At 39.5% G+C, this 21,751-nt stretch overlaps 2 long non-coding RNA genes across 3 annotated transcripts; one reads left to right on the forward strand and one right to left on the reverse strand.

Annotated features, from left to right (window-relative positions):
- Window positions 1–5,157: 5,157 nt before the first annotated feature.
- Window positions 5,158–10,369, reverse strand: LOC124902925 (uncharacterized). 2 transcript variants are annotated; one of them, XR_007063287.1, is made up of 2 exons: window positions 10,328–10,369; window positions 5,158–5,537 (listed from the first exon to the last, which is right to left on the reverse strand). It is a non-coding gene; the product is annotated as an uncharacterized LOC124902925 (long non-coding RNA). The 2 variants fall into 2 exon arrangements; XR_007063286.1 differs by lacking the exon at window positions 10,328–10,369 and adding an exon at window positions 9,358–9,559.
- Window positions 10,370–18,586: 8,217 nt separating this feature from the next.
- Window positions 18,587–20,785, forward strand: LOC107984466 (uncharacterized). The gene is made up of 3 exons (XR_001749082.2): window positions 18,587–18,880; window positions 19,474–19,654; window positions 20,492–20,785. It is a non-coding gene; the product is annotated as an uncharacterized LOC107984466 (long non-coding RNA).
- The last annotated feature ends 966 nt before the right edge of the window (window positions 20,786–21,751 follow it).

A 21,751-nucleotide genomic window follows, 5' to 3' on the forward strand; every position in this document is an offset into this window, starting at 1 on the left:
TGCTCTTTGTTTACCTCCACTTTACTGATTAGAAAAGTGAGGCTCAGAAATGCAAAGATTCAGGTCCAAAGTTTACGTAACTAATAAGCAGCAGAACACTCAATCCTCCAAATTAATTACTCAATTGCCTCCAAATTAATTATTTTTAAGCTACTATATCACATTTACTCTAAGTCAGTAACGAGTTTTCTTTCTGTATTAAAAATAAAGAATGAGGCTGGGCGTGGTGGCTAACACCTGTAATCCCAGCACTTTGGGAGGCCGAGGCGGCCAGATCACAAGGTCAGGAGTTCGAGACCAGCCTGACCAACATGGTGAAACCCTTTCTCTACTAAAAATACAAAAATTAGCTGGGCGTGGTGACACATGCCTGTAATCCGAACTACTCAGGAGGCTGAGGTAGGAGAATCACTTGAACCCAAGAAGCGAAGGTTGCAGTGAGCCAAGATTGTACCACTGTACTCCAGCCTGGGTGAAAGAGTGAGACTGCATCTCAAAAAAACAAAATAAAATAAAGAATGAGTAGTTAAAAATAACACAATTTAAAATAAACACTGACCAGGTGCAGTGGCTCATGCCTGTAATCCCAGCACTTTGGGAGCCCATAAAAAGAAGATTGCATGAGCCCCAGGGTTCGAGGCTTCAGTGAGCTCAGATTGTGCCACTGCACTCAGCCTGGGTGACAGAGTAATAAAACAAAAATAAAATAAACACTCCAAAATTAGATTTAATTATTTGATTTCCTAAGGTAAGCAAAGGAAAAATTGCATCATTAATCAAATTATCAGTGTGTTGATGGTTTCAATTTAGTGTTAAAAATGGTTACTTTTGGTTTTTTAGTTTTGGACCTTTCCTTTGACCTGGATGGTCAAAAATTGGGACTTTTTTGTTTTCATTTTCTCCCTAGAATACAGAGATGAAAATAGTAAAAGACTAGGAAGCATGAAACCTGGAATATAGCCCTGGGTATGCAGCTAGCTAACTGGATATGACTTTGGACAGGTCAGTTACATTCTGGGTCAGTTTCCTTAGCAGTCAAAAGACAACTTCGATGAGTTTCTGTATTCAGGATTGGTGTTTACTTGGTATGTTCCAGTGTGGCCACACTGTTTATTAAATTATTGAAGTAGTCCCATACCAGTTGGCAAACAGCACCCCTTCTCTAGCCATCTAGCTCTTCCTCTGGGATCCTCCCACCACCCCACGATGTAAAACTTGAAGGGTTGATGGCTGAAAAAATATTGGCCTCTCAAGACTCTGCTGCAGCCCACAGCTGGCATTCACTCCAATTGTCAGTTTTCATGCCTTAATGATTGTTAAATATTTTTGATCCTGTACATCCTGCACACATCCAAATATATGTTTACAATGTTCCCATTTATAGTGTGTACAGCTTGCTTGTTCGGTTCAGTTAAAGTTTGAAGTATAGACTCAAAGTTGATAAACTATTTAAGTTGCCTATGAGGCTTTCAGCCAATAAGTCAGACAGCTTCTTCCCTTTGAAAAGTGGGCAGGTAGGAAAATAAGGATGAGGTTACAGTGTTCACTTTCTGGATTGCTCTCCCATATGTCAATAGCTATAAGTTCTGTGAATAAATATATGCTGTCTGAATCACTCTACATTCACAGCCAGCTTTGTCTCTTAAATGTATTTAGATAATGGGACACCTCCCCTAAAAATCTAAAAAAAAAAAAAAAAACACAGTTTAAATTATCATCTTTGGCATTTAATAAATGTCAAGATCATTGAATCAGATTCTCTTCTTATGACTCACTTTATACTTCTTGAACCAACATTAATCTACCTCCTAAGGCACATAATAACTACAGGGGTAGAAGGGTAGAACATCCAATAATTTATTCATTAAGTTCCAGTCACTGCTGGTTTTAAAAGACAGATCTGTTAGCTTCTCATTTCAAGGTCTCTCTCTCTATTCTCCTTTTAAAGATAATAATGCAATTTCTATGTTGCTAAGAAGGAACAATGTTTAGATTATATTTCAATCCAAATTCTCAAGTTCCAAACTGTTTTCAGAAATTTTGTCATTAGTCTTTCAAATACTGCCTTTGATAGGTAACTAAGGGTTTCTTTCATTAAGCTTAGCTTATCTGCTAGTTTTCCTCAGGATAGCTGCAGAAGCTCTTGGCATCACATCTTCACACACCAAAGTAAAAAGATAGGAAATATTTCCCAGAAGTCATCTTAGCTTATCCTACATCACACTGTCCAGTATTGAGTCTTTCATAAGTCAATCATTGGAAAGGAAGAAGGGATCACCATGACTGGCTAAGACGAATCAAGATCTACCCAGTGGGTCTAAGGCTGGGACCAACTTAGCTTGAGCATTTAGCTTCATAAAGGATTTTGTTTTGTTAGTAAAAAAGAAGATGCAAATGGTTGTTGGGTAGGTAATTATTATACTAGCATCTGCTACACATAACAGCTCTGTGGGATAGACGTATTTATTTCTCACAGTTTATAGTTGAGTGTACTGTGATTCGACATGGTAAGCAACATGCCCAAAAACTAGCAGTGGTCCACGGTGGAGCTGTGATTTGAACTAAAGTCTGTCTGGCACTTACATGGCTGCACCAAGTTACTATGCTCTACTAATTTCCAGGTCGTGTATTATATTCACTAAAGATATTGGGCTCCAGCTCACAGTCTTTCTTCTCACCAAAATCCCTCTTATTACCCAGGGAGATCTCCATCAAATCCTAGCCACATTTCCTGACCCCACCTGCAATAGACTTTGCTACCACCTCACTGTAGCCTCTCACTCCCTTGGCCTTACCCTCAGTAACTATTCTAATGTTGAATCTTGAATTCTAGTATCTCATGCTCTGACAGCCTCTCATACTTCCAGCCTGTCTTATTCCCACTACACCTGTTCTTTAAGGTCCCAGAGTTCTCCAACCTCCCCTCCATCTGGAATGTCTACTTCAATATATGAAATTGAAGATGTCTCAAAGCTCCACGCAGACCCCTTTCTCTGAAAGAAGAGAATGAGGCTCAGAATGCTGACACAAGTAGCCTAATGTCCCACGGCTAGTAACTGCAGTGTCAGGACTGGACCACTGGGCCCTTGTGGGTTCCAAGTCAGGCCAATGTTTTGTTTTCTTCCTACACTATCTCTTTAGGTTGAAACTTTTCTCCTGGTAAAGATTTTTAAATATCTTGGGTTGGAACAATATTTTAAGATATTAGCAATTTATACTTAAGTGTAACATGCTTTATATTTTAAAAAGATTTTACAACATATTTTGCTAATGTCTAGAAAAGGCTACAGTGATGAGAAGCTGCTAAGATGGGAAAATGTTTTGCCAATTTCCATGCTGAGAACTGGATAGCTGAATAACTGAGTGGTCAGAGGCAGACAAGTGTTCACTCTTGGGGAATTTATAGGCTAGATAGTTTAAAAAATAGCCTAAGTTCTCTAAAGTTCTCTTCAAAATAGATGTTTTCATAGATTAACTTGTTTTAAAATAAATACAAAGGAGCAGGCATAAGATGATGTTGCATTTTCCTTAGTAGCTGATCTCTGAAAGACATTGCTTAGATTTCTATTTTGAAATTAAAACAAACAAACAAATAGCATACATTGCAATATGAAAATACTCAATGATGCTATATATATACTTTAAGTTCTGTGATACATGTGCAGAATGTGCAGGTTTGTTACACAGGTATTCATATGCCATGGTGGTTTGCTGCGCCCATCAACCCGTCATCTATATTAGGCATTTCTCCTAATGCTATCCCTTCCCTAGCCCCCCACCCCCTGACAGGTCCCGGTGTGTGATGTTGCCCTCCCTGTGTCCATGTGTTCTCATTGTCCAACTCCTACTTATGAGTGAGAACATGTGGTGTCTGGTTTTCTGTTCCTGTATTAGTTTGCTGAGAGTGATGGTTTCCAGCTGCATCCAAGTCCCTGCAAAGGATATGAACTTATCCTTTGTTATGGCTGCATAGTATTCCATGGTGTATATGTGCCACATTTGCTTTATTCTTATGAGACAGAACTTCCTAGGGTATGACTATTTAGTTTGATTGATCTGAAATTATGGATTTCAATAATTTGGAGATGAGACCTTAGTATTTCCAAATGTATGCAAATATTGCTTTCATAATGCACTTGATGGGTCTGAAATAGGAATAGCACTGGGCAGGCACAGGAGGATAGAAAACCCCCAACCACAGCTAAAACAATAACTAGGCAAATAAACCATGGGCTGATGGAAAACCCAAAAGAAGGGACAACAAATGGCCAAAATCCTGGTCAGGTTGACATATCTATGACTCTTTCTGGCAAACCCGAAAAAGAGAAAAAGGGGATGGTAACAAGGGTCCCCGAAATCCTCTCCTTTTCCAGAATGATTATTCCACCCCCTAATTAAAGAAACACCCATAAAATTAAAAACCTAAACTTAATTGTGTGTGATTTGTTCTCGTCAGCACGCCTGCACTTCTCTCTCAACTGTGTACTTTCATTTTTGGAATCAAAGCTTCTTGCCTTTCGCATCATTCGGACTCATCCCCGAATTCTTTTGAACCAGGACACCAGCTGAGGCTGGGGTCTCACTGGCATCTGAAGGCCCTCCGAGCCCTCTAGCAACAGGCAGCAGGCCTTCTTAGTTACGTTTGCTGGCTTGATTAGAATCATATTGCCTTGCACAGTGATAAGCACCTAAACTGATATTAGCTTCAAGAAAACATGAAAGTGTTGATTAACAAAAAAAAAAAAATTAGGTGTTAAGGGTCCCCAAAATACTCTGCTTTGGTTTAATGTATATCGACTACAAAACATCTTTTGAGGCAAGTTTTACCTGTGTAATCAACAGTATTACTGTTTGGTGTGATGTGAAAAGACAAGGATTTTAGAAGATTTTGTGTATGTGTCTTCATGAAACTGCATTGGAAACAGCACATGGGAAGTGAAAAAGAGAAATTTCATAGATACCGTTTGCAATTCTTAGTTAAGCTAGAAACAAAGAGGATCCTGATAATTTAAACATTTGTTTAAATTGTTTCTAATTCCTGTGGTCTGGGAACAAATCCCCAACCTAGCTTCAGTTACCCTCCTCCACACCACTCCATTGACGAAAAGGGGGAAGAAGGAAACTGGGTGGGGGGAAGAATGCGGAAGGAGAAGGAGGTGCAGAAAATTTTGTTTAATTGGGGTTGTAAAAAACAGCAGATGATTCAATATCTCCCTGAGGTTTTTACTGTAGATCACAGAAAGGAATGTGGAAAAACTCTTTTCATGACTTCCACCTCCTAGTAGGATTTGCCTCAGTGGTAGGCCTGCCAACAGTGGCCATGGGTCCTGGACAGAGGATACATGTGCTGTCTGGCCCACTGGTCTGTGGTCATTTCCTATCTTTTTTTAGGGTCTGATGCTATTTTAAGTGTGCCTCTTGACTGTGTGGGTATCACAGACACATTTCTCTGCTGTCCGGTTGCAGAACGGGTCTACTTTTTGACCATGCATATTGTAGACAGTCCATGGAGGTGAGACAGGGATGGTCCTTAAAACCTAGAAATAAGGAAAGTGAGAATGCTCTTTGAGAGTTAAGCTATGACGTAAGTCCAGCATAATTTGGAGTAAAGAGAGATATTTAAAGTCACATTAAGATTGCAAGCAAACTTGAATTGTGTGTGTCCAAGTCATGCAACAAGAAGTGGATTTACCCAGGCTCCCTGGCCAGCATATTCTTATTATAGTGATGGATACATCACACTGCCAGAGTTGATGTTTGTTGCACATTCTTTTCACATAACCAACTCTCCTGATTCCCCAAAGTAAATGTCTCAGGTACTTTGCACTGATCAGACTGACCTAAATGTGAGATCTCCTTGACAGTCACATTTCCCTTTAAAATCTAATACACTGGAATTCTGTGTTTCTACCTCATGGTAAGTTTTGTTAGCTAAAGGTCTCATCTTTAAGTCCAAAGAATGTTGGGTTACGATGAGTTTCAGAGCTGCTATCATCCACATCATGCTGGTGTCTCCCAAAATTTATATGTTGGAACCAAACCTCCAATGGGATAGTATTGAGAGATGGGGCTTTGGGGAGGTGATTAGATTATGAGGACAGATCCCTCATGCATGTGAATGGTGCGTTTAAGAAAAGAGGCCCCAGAGAGCTAGCTAGCCCCTTCCACCATGGGAGGATGCAGCAAGAAGGCATCATCATCTGTGAATGAGAAAATGGGCCCTCACCAGACACTGAATCTGCTGGCACCTTGATCTTAGACTTTCCAGCCTCCAGAACTGTGAGAAATAAATGTTGTTTATAAGCTACTCAGTTAATGATAATTTGTTATAGTAGCCCAAATGAACTAAGACAAGAGCTTACAAGTCTAAGGTCATCCCCCTGGAAAGCAGTGGACAGGCTCACTGAGAAAAACATCTCTTCGTGAGGACCTCTCTGGATGGCCAGCCAGCCCTCTTCAGGCCCCGCCCTATCTGTGCCCCTCAAAACACACCTGCTTCACTGCCTCTCAACCAGCCTCAGGAGAGGATAACACTGCTACCATTTGTTTTTTCTGAAGGAATCCTTCAAACATTTCATTTGACAGTTATTCCTATTTCAGTAAGACCTTGTGAGGCCCAGCTTCACAGATGGATAATGGCCCCATCCTACAAGTGGAAGAGGATGTGCCTGTGTCTTAGTTGGAGAGAGAGAAAAAAGCAATCTGTCAACCTGATGGAAAATCCATCACTGTGGGGATTTACAGGAATAAATGACCGTAACACTTCTTCCTGGCAGCTTTGTGCACATGGATAATAAGTAAACCCTTGTTCCTTTATAGAATGGTTTATTTCAAAGAACTCGTGACCCACAAGATTTTCTATTTAACCCCTAGGCTTTCTTGGCTTATCCAATTCCATAGCTATCACACCGTGTTCATCTTTAGAGCCAAGAAATTCAACTATGCAGTGCCCTTGCTCTCAAGAAAAAATTGTGACAGGAACCTTTGTGAATTGTCTTTATTTCATTAGAATTTGTCACCCCAATTTAACTTTTTGCATGTGACCAGAAAATGTTTTGAATTGTTAAATGCTCAAGTTAATGTCAAATTTTCAAATGTGAAGTCAACATAAGCTTCGTACAGCTTGGTAACTTATGTTAATATTGTCTTAATAAGACAAAGAACTTAAAAGAGCAGTATGTTTATTTGAAGTAAAAGTATATTTTTAAAATAAAGAGGCCTAGGGGTGCAGGTCATCTGAATCATAGCACCCATGTGGATCACACTCCATGATTTCAAAATTCAGAGATGCTCCTGATCTATCAATCATTAACTGTTGACCTTTGAGCAGCTAAGAAGACTGTGTTATATAACAGTTGTCCCTGACTACTAAAATGATTAATTTGGGGGTGGAAGATGGGGACATTTTTTAAAATATTAAATCTACTAAATTCAGGTAAAATTACTTTGTAACATTTCCAGGTCTAATATCTCATAGGCCAACTAAATATATGCAAATTCATTTAATAATCAGAGAAAAGAAATGGAGTGTTACTAAACCAATGAAACACAAGCAGCTCTTTTGCTCATTTGCTGTGTGTCCAGAACTGTGGGAGACATGGGATCTTCAAGCATTTTACAGAAAAAGGGCTCATGGAACAGAGGGACAACCAGGGCTGGGGCAGTGCTGGCAGTAAGGACAGTGGTAACCTGCCCATCATGGCAATTTATATTTGTGTGTGTTTCATTCCTTTACAGGTGGGGAATGTCCTGAAGAGCAGGACTTATGTTCATTTACGTTTGAATCACCCTCACCTCTGCCCCACCTCAACTCTTCATTAGCTCTCAACACCGTGATTGGCATGAATAAATAGAGGAATAAGAGAGAAAAGGGATGACTGAAAGAGAGACTGAAAACTATGGCACTTCTATTTCTTCCTATAGAACAAATACTAGAAATAAGTCCTCAGGGATTAAAGTCTTATCTTACTTTTTTCCTCCAACGAGTGGCTGACTAATCAGTGATTTTTAAGTTCTTGGAAGTCACAATTCAATGGCTTCTGCATTGCTCAGCTTAGGTTCCTTTTCTCACCCATTCCCCCTCCCTTCTCATCTCCTTGTGCCTATGGAGTAACCAGGTCAATTCCTATGATGGAATGGGCTGATCCATTCAAACAACTGGTTGACATGGCTTATAAAAATAGCCAAGCTGGGCTTGTTGGCAAAGGCTAGACTTCAAGGAAGATGATAGTGGTCTGAGTCAGCAGCTTGTGAAATTCAAGCAGGCAGTTAGAGTGACAAAAAGGAAAAAGAATTGACGGTGACCAAAATGTCCCCAGATAACACATCACCCCACTGAGGAAAGAAGACAGAAGTAAACAAGTAGGTGGAAACATGTGCCAGTCAATTTTTAAAGAAAACAACTTCACCTGACATTATATTTAAAAAGATTATGTTGACCTGCACATGCTGAAACATAAAAATAACAATTAATGTAATGACTTTTAAATATGAGAAGTAGCATGGAGATAGAGCAGTATACATTGTCTAAAAAAAATTCTTACTATTCCCACAATCTGATTTTTCATTAATAAACTTCACAGGTCTTTGGGAAAGTCTGTGGTTAGATCAATGCATGGATTCAATTCTAAAGCTGGAAAGAAAGATTTTATTTTCTCTTGAGTTTCTGTCTAGCCAGCAGGTTTTAATTCCTGTGTAATAGTGGTTCGTTATCCTTCATCTGTTGAATAACCATTTTCTTGAAAGGCCAGAATATTGTAACTCCAAGAAATAAAAAGAGGTCAATTTTGTTGAATACTGTTTATTTAGATTTTTTGCATATTTTGCACATTTTCTCGAGTATGGGTAAGTAATCAAGTAATCCTACATACTGGTGGCTGCCTTGTGGATATCTCTTATTAGCATCGTGCCAAAAAGTGTGGAAGGCAAAAGGACAAAACTTAAAGCAAGACTTGAAAAAGTGGCCAGGGTATAAGTGGTGTATTCATTACCAAGCGTGGCCAAAATATGTTTGCCTATTTATACCAAAGTCTCTTCAGATTTACCAATTAGCTTCAATAATTTATTGATTGAGGGGTGATGTTAATGCTTTTTAAAAAGCACTTCTTAATATTTGTAGCCATTAAATACTTGTAGTCAATACCTGTAGAGTATGTCTGCAAGGAGACTTATTTCATCTGGGTAGGAAGAAGTAGGAGTGGGGAGAACTTGCCTCAATTTCTTTACTTGCTTCAATTTCTTTACTATCAGGAACAGATGACTAGTTTAGCAAGAACATCACTGGCTCAAGGCACCCCTTCTCCTAAGCAGCGCATGTCTCACAGAATATTTCAAGGTTCACAGAGCAGTTTCACCTACCTTAGCAGCAATCTGTGATGTTTCACAGAGGAGGAAAGGAAAGCACCCAGATCTGAAGTGCCTCTCCCAGGAGATCATGGAGCCAGCCAGAGGCTGACACTGCATTGAAGTCCAAGTCTCCTTCAGAACCTAAGCCCTCTCCACCGTACTTCTTGGCTGATCCCAAGCAGATAGCTCTCATTTCTCAACAAACGTAAATAAGGCAACGTGCAATCTTAGAATACAAATGAAGTATTTCTCCTAAGGCATCTATTATAGGCAACTTATTGAATAAACCTCTTAAGATCAAAAAAAGATTCTTAAAACTGCTAGTCGTTATTCACAAACACACAACAAAGCCTTCCAGATTTATAAATTTACATGGAGAAATAAAAGTCATCCCAGAATAACTTTAAAATTGTTCAAAATAATGTATATACATCTATATTTGAAAACATCCTCAAGGCTGTTTTTTGAAAAAGGACATAAATATATGTCAAATAAAATAAAATTTGAAAAGACAAGAGATTCTGTGAGGAAAAAGGTCGTTAGATCCTTTGGAATTAACTGGAAAAATGATGGCAGTTATATGGGGAATCGGAAGGACAAAATGATATCGAATTTCTCTTTATGGATCACAGGCTTTTACTAGTGTAGTGTTATAAATAATTGAAAATATTTTTGTCTTCTTCAGAGAAGAAAGCAAAGTAGTATCAGGTCCTTACCTAGAGGGGACACACACACATATACACGCACACACACAACACACTCCTACTCATAGATCCCACTGGGAATTTGGGAAACAGAACACCCCATTAGGTAATTCTCTTTAAAAGTCAATTCAGGGCTGGGCGCAGTGGCTCACGCCTGTAATCCAAGCACTTTGGGAGGCCGAGGCAGGCAGATTATGAGGTCAGGAGATCGAGACCATCCTGGCTAACATGGTGAAACACCGTCTCTACAAAAAATACAAAAAAAAAAAAAAAATTACCTGGGCGTGGTGGCAGGCGCCTGTAGTCCCAGCTACTTGGGAGGCTGAGGCAGGAGAATGACGTGAACCCGGGAGGCGGAGCTTGCAGTGAGCCGAGATTGCACCACTGCCCTCCAGCCTGGGTGACAGAGCAAGACTCCGTCTCAGAAAAAAAAAAAAAAAAAAAAAAAAAGCCAATTGAATGGGTGGGTGTATCTTAAAGCCTTTTCCCTCTAAAGATCCCTGTGATAGTGTTTGAAATCCCTCTAAAGAGCCCTGTGACAGCATTTTAAAAAAACCCTGCTACCTACAAAGTAGATGTTTGTTACATATTTCTTGGATAAATGATTGATACAGGATTGATTCAAGACAGGACATAAAAGATCCTGGAAGGCCAGGTGGATGACTATCACAACAGTCCAGCAAGAGGTAATGATGACTTATGTGGGGGCAGTGGAAAGAAGAGGGCAGAACCAGGACCACTGCACAGGTAGAATTGACCTCGTTATTGAATATTCAGCAGCTTCTCACAATCTAGAGAACTATTGAAGGCTCTCCATTCACTTCCTTTATCTACTTCTTGGCCCACACTCATTCTCCATGCAAACATTAGTTCTCTCCTAATCATCCAGGAAGTAAAACCTGAAATACCTAAATAATTAAAATCAATTATACTCCGATAACATTGGAAGCAGCTGCTATACTCTTCATAATATATTTTACAGATTAAACATTCATTTCACATAGTCAGGTTTGTATAGATGAGTTAATATTTTATAAAGACATTTGTCTTCAGGAAACAAAAAGAAATATCAGACTATCACCTACATGAATTCTGAAGGTACATGAATTTGCCCATTACATTTTGCTACTTTGAGACATTAGAAGACCTCTCAAGAAGTCCGAACCTTTCTGTTGAGACTTGTTCTTAGATGAGACAAATCTGATCTCTCAAAAAGATGAGGTTCTCCTAAAAACAGTGTGTCAGTTCTCTGTGAACTTGGGAAAAATTGTGAAACAGAGACCTTGATTCCCTATTCAGACCTCCCATATACAGAATTCATGAGTGTCAGCTAGGATCTGTCCCCAGATATTGCATGGGCTTCATCTCTTGATACTATGGACAACTTTTGGTAGAGGAGGTAGAGGATAAAAGAAAATAAGAGATCACCTGCAATCTTAGTGCAGACTGTAAGGAGTTCAGAGAAAGTGCCAGCCTTCAGGAAATGTCAGGACAAGTGTTAGCTCAATTCAGTAACCAAATTCAGTTCAATTCAATTCAACTCAGCTTGGATGTTTATCAATAAGTCTTAACAATAATTCTTACATTAAATTATTGTCATGAAATTTATGAAACTTCTGCTGTGTGCATTTGATTTGTTTTATTCAGCATTTCTTTTTTCATGCAGTCCTAAGTTGTAAGGTGGCTTTCTTCCATTCTCATAAGAGTTAGCACAAAGAACTCTCATCCTTGTTCCCTGTTATCTCTTATGCATGCTTACTAGCAGCTGGTGGGAGCTGCTAAGAAAAAATGCCATTCTAGAGATATAATTTGGAATCAAGCAGAAGTATCTGCTGCAGAACTAATCACATGTTTGGAGTAAAGGATTGAAGTGTGAAGAAAGCGAAAGACAGTCAAGGCTACATATGGATATTTTTAAAGTAAGGCTCATGTGCAGCAGCTGAAGAAGTATGTCAGTGTTCCTTGCACTCATGTGATGTGACACTTATATGGCTCACTTCAAAGTCAAAAATGACATTGTCAATACTCTGCTTTTTTTTTTTTTAGGAAGGGTCTCACCCTGTCACCCATGCTGAAGTGCAGTGGCATGATCATAGCTCACTGTGGCCTTGAACTCCTGGGCTCAAGCAATCCTCCTACCTCAACCTCCTGAGTAGCTAGGATTAGAGGTGCACACCACTGTGCCTGGCTAATGTTTTTGTTTTGTTTTGTTTTTTTGTAGAGGGATCTCACTTTGTTGCCCAGGCTGGTCTCAAACTCCTTGCTTCAAGCGATCCTCCCACCTCAGCCTCCCACAGTGCTGAGATTGCAGACATGAGCCACTATGCCTAGCCTATTCTGCTTTTATTTTGAGAATTTCAACTTTTTCCTCTCCCATATGTCTATATAAATGATCCATCACCATGGGGAGGGGAGGGAGGTGGAGGTGGAAATGAAGTCTCCACATGTGGAAAGCAAATATCTGGAATATGCCGGAGTGTAGTACCTGCATAGGTCATACTGGGTCAAAGATTACAAACAATTCCACTTAAGGGCACGAAGAGGAATTGGTGCCTTTGAGGTCAGCGTGCATTCCAAGTTCTAGAAATAGAGTTTCAACAAGTTCTGCCAGATGCCTTATCTTGGCAGCTTTCCTATTATTATTTCCCTTGACTGCCAAAGAGCAACTCCCCCACTGCCATGCACAGGTCAGTGACTGGTGCAATCAATGAATCAATCAAATAGGCAACAACTGGTTTTAAGAACTGGCTCCATACTGAAGGCTTCTGTGGGGATTGCATTCAGCCAAACCTCCCAAGGGCACATTGAGAAGGATTTGTACTAGAACATATTATTGTTCTCAGCTCCCAGTCATTTCTTTATGAAAATTACGTTGATTATTTTTGACAAGGGAGTGTGAATGTAGGGTATTCTGTGGGAACTCTCATCTCTGCACTCCTCAAGGCTGAGATGATTAAGATCCATATGTAACAAAGTTTTTCCACAATGTGAAGCAATGGAGTCAAGGATGGTGATATCCAGCCCCGTGCCACCACTTCCCCACTTGAATCCACGGTGGCTGCTATTCATCTATCGCGAAGTTACCGCCAAGCCCAGCACCACGTTTTCTCATTCCAACATTCCAGGAATTCTCTTCGCATTAGGATGTGAAACGAAACTTCCTTGCCCTGATTAGGGAGCTCTGGTTCAGGGCTGCCTAGGCTCTTGTCTTGTCAGAGCTGCCTGTGTCTTAGGATAATCAGAAGGATTATCCTAAGAAAGTTGTATTTAGGGCAGGATTCCTCAGCTGACCCCCGGCTTGCCCTGGAGAGCACACCAAGCCTTGAAGTGGTTCAGAAACTAACCAGCCTTCGGGAAATGTCAGGACAAGCAATGATGACTGTCCTGGTCCTTATCTTACTTTGTATTAATCATGAACCTGGATTTATTTCCAGAGAAGAAAAATGCCAACCTTACCTCTATTCAGATTTCACTGTCACATTTTAGACTGTTCTATAATAAGTCTGTAATTTTTGTTTTAGTGGAAAAGACAACTTTGTGATGAGTACTATTCTTCAGTAATTAAGTGAAAATTACTTTAGGAAGTTTCCTGTTCTCTAAAAGTAATCAGATTCATGGAAGCAGAAGTGATAAAAGAAGAAATCATGTGTATAAAGTAGTTCAGTGGAGGTAACAGCATTCATTCAACACATACTTCTTAAGTGCCAGGCATTATTCTAGCTGAAGGTCAACAGAGAAGAATAGCACATGAGTCCTGCTTTTTCTGAGGGTGACACATAACCACTAGCTACACCTGTGTGTAACTTCTGTGCAATATGGATGATAGCACAATATTACATAAACTGGATGCTATGAGGCCACAGTGAACGAAGAGCCTGACTCCAGGAGTTCAGAGGAACTTCTTAGTGGAGACAAAGCTGTTTAACATACATTATTGTCTCGTGTTACCCATTCTCAAACAACTCAGACACCCAACCTGTGCATAAAAAAACTGAAGACTTTTAAAGTTTGGGTTCTATAAAAGCTAATAGCTGAAAAGTATAGAGGAAAGTTACATAGAGTGTACTTCCTCATGGCACTCACTGTGATTCTGTTGTAATGTCACACTGAACCCTCTTGAAAACCTCCAGATTGAGTTTGTTTTTCAGTTTTGGTTTGTTCTTTTAGCATACGCTGTATTCTCCCTCAAGTATCATGTACTCAGATCATTATATGGCCTGGTCCAAATGTGAGGGTGCCACTGGTTTTTTTAAATGGTTGAAGCATTACTAGGAGCCTCTGGGGAATAAGTCAGAGAGCTGTCTTTGTTGGCCTTTATGCTTGGAATGGCTTGGCTTCTCATGATTGCAAGCTAATGAAACTATTCAGGATAAGCTTTGGCGCCAAATCGGGAACACTTCAGGATCCATTGAGATGATCTTTGCAGAGCTCACACTGGTGCAGCCAGAGGGAGGATCCTGATTTAGTAGTTTCTACTTCAGGTGAGGACACGAGACACAGGTCAAGCATCCAGTGTGGCAACGCAGTTAGTTTATGTGTGAAGTGAGTGCTGGCAGGTGCTCAGGCATGAAGCCCAGCTACTGAGGGAGGGATTCCACTGCTATGCAGCCCAGACTGCCCCCATGGCCAAGGGCAGCCAGCAGGTTATAATTTTGAGGCTTTTTACAATGGCAGATTTTTGAATCACTTATTTTTTTCTCTCTTAAAACAATGCATCAAGTTGAGGGGCTTTTTGCTCATTGCCACAGCCTTGAGAAACTCCTGTTGCCGATTAGTTTTATTTTGGGGCTTCTCTTTGCTCAGAGTTATCTAGCCCTGCAGGTGGATTTGATGAGCTTTACTCCAGGGTTGAAAGGAGACTAGTATTTGTGCCTTATCATTTGTTAAAGCCCACCTAATGTGGGAGCCGCTCAGTAGCCAATCAATATCCTGGGGAAAAAAAAGCCTTGTAATTGGAGTCTGAAGACCTAGATCTAAGCCCTAAGCTCTACGAAGTATTAGCTATGTCATTAAGGCAAGTGATTAAACCTCTCTGAAACTCAGTTTCCTCATATGTCGAAATGGTCCTTGGTTATATGAACAGAGAGATTGCCCCAAACTAGCAGCAGTTTTAAGAGAGATACCCATGAGTGGAGGGAGGAGGGATAGCATTAGGAGATATACCTAATGTAAATGATGAGTTAATGGGCGCAGCACACCAACATGGCACATGTATACATATGTAACAAACCTGCACAATGTGCATACGTACCCTGGAATGTAAAGTATAATAAAAATGAATAAATTAATAAAAATTTTAAAAAGAGAGATTTTCGCTATCTGGCTAATAATAAATGGGACATGAGCAGCAGCTTTAAGCCCTCATTGTCATTTTTGGAAGAGAAGTTGTCCAAACTTTAATAGCTTTTCCAACAGGTATACAACAGCTTATCTCCCTTAATTATTTAAGAAAATATTTTGCAACTAACTTTCCTGGAGGGGTTGGTAAAAATTACGCTATATGACATGATAAATCTCATAGGAGTGTCCTTGATTTATTTGGTCACCGTGCCAGACATTAAGCTAGATGCTGAGGACACTGGCACTGTCTTCAAAGACTTTACAGCCTTGAAAGGGAGAGAGGCAACTACATATAAAACTGCAATGAAGTATAATAAAACTGTGATAGACTCTTCCATAGGGTGCCAAGAGAGGCAAACAGATAATACATACCTCCTGTTGAATGTTCACGATCCCACCTCCGAAGTAGCTTTGCAAAAAATTGAACTTGAATTTCACAAGCCAGAAGAAGTGGCTCATGCCTATAATCCTAGCTACTCAGGAGGCTGAGGTGAGAGGGTCGCTTGAGGCCAGAAGTTCAAGACCACCCTGGGCAACATAGCAAGACTTCCTCTCCCTGGCCCCTCTCTAAAAGAATTTTAAAAGTCAGCTAGGCATGAATCCACTCCAGCCTGGGCAACAGAGTGAAATACTGCCTGTAAAGAAAAAATAAAGCAAGAACAAGTAACTGGGGCCTCACAAATTTGGATGAAGAGGAAAACAGCTGTGAGATTTAAATGTAAAAATAAGCCACAATCACACAGCTATATAGTTGAAGAAGGAGTATTTTAATAATCTTTGGAGAACTGTTGAGTATCCTTCTTCGACATTACAACAAAATTTAAGTGATTTTCTTAAAAATTAGTTGTAATATGGGATATGAAACCATACGAATGAATATTTTATACACTTTGAACTGCGTTGGCTATCTTTACTTTTTAAAATTTGTGTACACTTATGGATACTTTTTAAAATTTGTATACATTTATGAGTACAAGTATAATTTTGTTATATATTGCATAGTGATGAAGTCAAGGCATTTGGTGTACACATCACTGAAGTAATGTACATGGTACCCATTAAGTAATTTCTCATCATCCACCTCCTTCCCATGCCCCTCACCCTTTAGATCCTCCACTAACATTCCACTCTCTACTTCCAAGTACACACATTATTCAGCTCCCTCTTATAAGTTAGAATATGCAGTACTTGTCTTTCTGTGTCTGCGTTGCTTCACTTAAGAAAATGGCCTCTGGTTGCATCCACATTGCTGCAAAAGACATGATTTCATTCTCTTTTATGTTTATATACCACATTTTCTTTATCCAATAGTCTACTGGTGGACACTTAGGTTGATTCTATATCTTTGCTATTGTGAATAGTGCTGCAATAAATATACAAGTGCAGGTGCCTTTTTAATATAATGATTTATTTTCCTTTAGGTAGGTACCCAGTAGTAGGATCGTTAGATAGTATGGTTGTTCTATTTTTAGTTCCTTGAGAAATCTTCATACCATTTTCCATTGAGGTTGTACTAATTTACATTTCATCAACAGTGTATAAATGTTCCCATTTCTCTGCATCCTTGCATTGGGCTATCTTTAAAATAAAAACATGAAAGTACTAAAAAAACAAATAAATACTTTGATAAATTTAGGGAAGAACATTCCAAACATGACAATTAAAATGGAACCCTTTTAAATATGAGGAAACACTTTAAACAAGAGACAAATAAAATATCAGAAAAAAAATTGCAGCATATGTGGCAAAACAGTTGACATTCTCTGTACAATAAACCATTACAAATTAATGCAGAAGAAAATACACATTCAAATAGAAACACAGATAAAGGATATGACTGGGCAACTGACCAAAGAAAGAATTAAAATGGCAAATAAACATTGAAAATTTTTCAAATTGAATAATATTCTATGAAATACAAGTTGAAACTATGAGCTACCACTTTTTACTCAGAATAAACAACAGGTGAAAAGGAATGACAATAGTGTGACGGTGTGGATGTGGAAAAGTAAGAACTGTCATATACTCTTTTGGGGACTATATTAGTTTCCTATTGCCACTGTGACAATTTACCCACAACTTCATGACTTAAAGCAACACAAATTTATTCTCTTACAGTTCCGAAGTCAGAAGTCTAAAATGGATGAGCCAGGCTGTTTCTTCTGGAGGCTCCAGAGGAGAATCCATTTCCTTACCTTCTCCAGCATTTAGAGTCGGCTCTGATTCTTGGCTCCTGACCCCTCCTTTATCACTCCAACCTGTTTCCCTCTGACTCTGACCCTCCTGCCTCCCTTTTTTAAGAACCCTTGTGACTACACTGGGCCCACCCAGATAGTATGGGATAGTCTCCCCATCTCAAAATCCCTAACGTAATCATATTTTCAAAGTTCCTTTTATAACATAAGGTAACATATTCACAGGTTCTGGGGATTCAGATGTGGACATCTTTGGAGAAGGGGGTTTATTATTCAGCCTGTCATGGGAGTAAACTGGTATAAACTTTCTGGAGGAAAATTTGACAATATGTATCAACATCCTTATAAGGTACATATCTTTGATCCACTTATTCAACTTCAGGGAATTTATTCTATCAGTCAAACAAGTGCACAAAGAATAGGACTTGTCTGCAGCATTGTTTTAATAGAAAAAACTTGGAAATGTTCTAAATAAAAAGAAAAAAAATTTTTTTTTGAGCCAAGGTCTTGCTCTGTCACCCATGCTGGAGTGCAGTTACATGATCATGGCTTGCTGCAGCTTTGATCTCCTGAGTTCAAGCAATTCTCCTTGCCTCAGCCTCCAGAGTAGCTGAAACTGCAGGTGAGCACCATCATGTCCAGTTGTTTTAATTTTTTGTAGAGACGGGGTCTCACTATGTTGCTAGTGACTAGGCTGGTCTCGAACTCTTAGGCTCAAGTAATCTGCCCACCTTGGCCTCCCAAAGTGCTGGGATTACAGATGTGAGCCACTGTACTCAGCCCAAAGCAAAATTTTGGTTAAATATATTATACTTCATTAAAATAATAGAATATCATATAGCCATTACTAATGATTTTCCATATTTGTTGATATGGAAACTCTCCATTGTTAAATGAAAGTTCCAGGTAGCAAAAGAGTTTACGTAGTATGATTCCATTCTGATAAATATCAAAATTTAAATCTAAATATATATTAATTTAAATCTAATTAATTAATTTAAATCTAAATATCAGAATTTAAATCTAAATGTAGATTTGTGTAGATTTGTGCATATATATATATATATTGCATAATAAATAAGCAAGGCTATGCACAAAACTTCCAGTGCAAAATATTGCTGAGTGAAATATTGCTGAGTGACTTTTCCTTTCTCTTGTGGAAATTGTGAGAATTGACTAGGAATATGTGAGAAGATGAAGGTTTAGCCGAGTTCACAGGCCATGAATCTGCAGTGAAGAGCAAGCGAAAGCAAGATCCTGGAAGATACTGGCAAGTGGCCGGATCACAGAATCCAGGTTAGAAAGGGGGGAAAAAAAGGTCAAGAGAGGTCTGACAAATCAGGAGAAAATGAATGGAATAACGAAATGGAAGAATCTTTCTAAAGAACATAATCTCAAATTCCCTGCTGCTCACTTTTTGTAAAAATTAAGAAATATTCACCAAAAAAAAAAAAGTCAGGAGAATATGAAGCCACTCATTTTACTTCTAGAAGTTTTTCTTACAGAAAATCAATCAAGGAGAGAGAATTGTGTATTAATTTAATTGTTTGGCCTTTAGAATCATGTTCCTTAGAGGGCATCGGTGCGACGGCTTCACCATTCTGCACATCCACCTGAGTTTTAAAACACGGTTTCTACTAAACATCTGGTATCTTGTATACAGGGGATGAATGTGGTCTTGTTTCCTTCTTTAGCTGCTGGAAACCTTAGAGCAAAAAATAAGGCCACTTTTGTAACTGTGTCTGACTCAGCAGCATAACTTTTCCGTTGTCTTCCATGTGCTATCCTGTTTTTATTTTTCCTTTCCCTTGATTGCTCTCTATACATACATTTTTGAGAAGTTGTTTTTCTTTATTTTTCAAACTAATTCATTCAATACTCTCCTCCAGGTAGAGTTTATAATTGTTTGTAGTTGAGAAAATTGGACTAGAATGAAGCCTTGTGGAATCCAAGAAGAATTCGTTATTCTTTAGCTGCTTTCATCTCCAACTGTGTTAGGCATCCTCCTAAGATGGTCCCCAAGATGGCAGACCCCTGGAATCATCTGTACAATTTCCTCTCTTTTCACAGGTAAGGGATTTTATAAACATAATAAGATTTCTTTCCTGTAATTGGGTTACATTGAATAACAAAGGTGAAGGGATTACACAGATGTAATGAAGGTCCCTACTCACTTGGCTCTGAGTTAATCAAAAGGGAGATTATCCTAAGTGGGCCTGACCTAATCAGGTGAGCTCTTGATAAGAGGGTGCTGGCCTTCCCTGAGAGATTCAAAGCAGCACAAATGCTCTCCTGTTGGATTTGTAGAAACATAATGCTATGCTGTGAAAAGGGCCACTTAGGGCTGCAGTCCTCCAGCTATAAGAACTGAATTCTGCTGTTGGGGCTCAGAAAACAATATCCCAGAATGAAACCTCAAACGCAGCCTGGAAAGAAAAAGTTCTTCTCTGACCTCCTACCCTTCTGTCTCTCAGTCCCATTCTCCCCTGAGGCTATCCATAGAAACCAGAACTCCTTTTCCCCAAAGGCAGCCATAAACCTAAAAATGTTACTCTAACTTTCCCTCTGCCCTGTCTACGTAAAAACTGGCCATAAAGAAATTATCTGACTTACCTTGTTTAACTGTGGATGATAAGACCCCCATTCCAGAGAGGGTTCTGCCCTATACCCAGAAGGAAGGAATACTGCACAGAGAAGCCAAGAAGAATCTAGACAGACAGGCCTTACTGAGTTTCCCATTCAGTTTATTAGCATTTGATTGTACCTTTTTTGTCCAATCCCATTTCGACACGGCTGTCCATAATTTGCTGAACCTAGGCATAAAAATGGAAAATTGCCCCCATTCTGAAGGCTCCCGTGTTTACTTACATGTTAAATAAATTTGTATGCCTTTTCTTCTGTAAATAGGCTTTTATGAGTTGATTTTTCAGCGAACCTTCAAGGGGCTAAGGGGAACATTACCCTTGGCCACTATACTGCCAACAACCTATGAGCCTGGAAGAGGATCCCAAGTCTCAGATGAAACCAGGACCTCAGCCAACACCTTGATTTCAGCCTCATGAGATCCTAAGCAGAGGGTACAGTAAAGCCACATATGGTGCCTAACCAAAAAAACTATGAGATAATAAAGATGTGTTTTGGAAGCTGCTAAACTGGTGTTGATTTGTTACATAGCAATTAAAAACTAATATACAAACACTACGGTATTTGTTTTCTTCATTAATTAAACATAACGTATCCTCACTTCTGTATCCATCAGTAAGGCAAGGTTCTGTGATAAAGACCTGCCTGCATTGTACGTCTGTATGGTTCCTTTCCCTATCCCAAATCTTAGATGCATATTTTGATTGATGATGATTGTCCTTGATCTAAGAGATGATGTGATATCCTGCTACCCCATTCTTCAACCCCCTCAGACACTGGGATCATTGTAGAATGATTCATAACATTCCCTGGGACCCCAACACATGGTGTTCTAACGTTTCTCAGTCTACAATACAGTAGTCCCTAAATCACATGACAACTTTTCCTATTGTAGAAAAAGTGCACGCAGAGGCGATGTGGTGGCTGATCTGCGGCAGCAGATGAGGTCCTGTATTCTGCTCCTGCCCCACACTGACCAGATGCCCATTTAGACAAGGTTTCCCCTGCTTCCACTCATAGACACAGTTATCTCTCAGACTCAAGGTGGCCTCCAAGTCCTTAGCATCCACTTCTTGTAGAAGCAGTGCCTTCCCCTTTGCAGGCCAGTGACTTTTTTTAGATTCTCAAACACAAAGTGACTGATCATTCACCTTTTCCTTGGCCTGATTGACTATAGGAATACCAGAATGGTGGTGGAGAGGGGTAAGGAGTTGGTGTAATGTTTCACACCTCAAAGGTATTCACCAACACTAGGTCACAAGCTCTATCTCTCTCTCTTTCTCACACACACACACACACACACACACACACACACACATTCTCTGGAAGGTCATCTCATCACAGATTTACAGCCCTGTAATCACCCTTGAATGAACCTCTTCGGGAGGTGCTTGGGAAAGCAAGGAGAGAAGACAGCTTGCTCATTCTGTCACATGCATTATTGGATTTGGGCAATTATTTTAATCCCCATAGTAGAAACTTGCTCATATTTCCATATTGGTACAAACTCTTCAGTCTACTTAA

Source organism: Homo sapiens, chromosome 12 (assembly GCF_000001405.40).
Source record: "Homo sapiens chromosome 12, GRCh38.p14 Primary Assembly".
In the NCBI taxonomy this organism is placed as follows: Eukaryota; Metazoa; Chordata; class Mammalia; order Primates; family Hominidae; genus Homo; species Homo sapiens.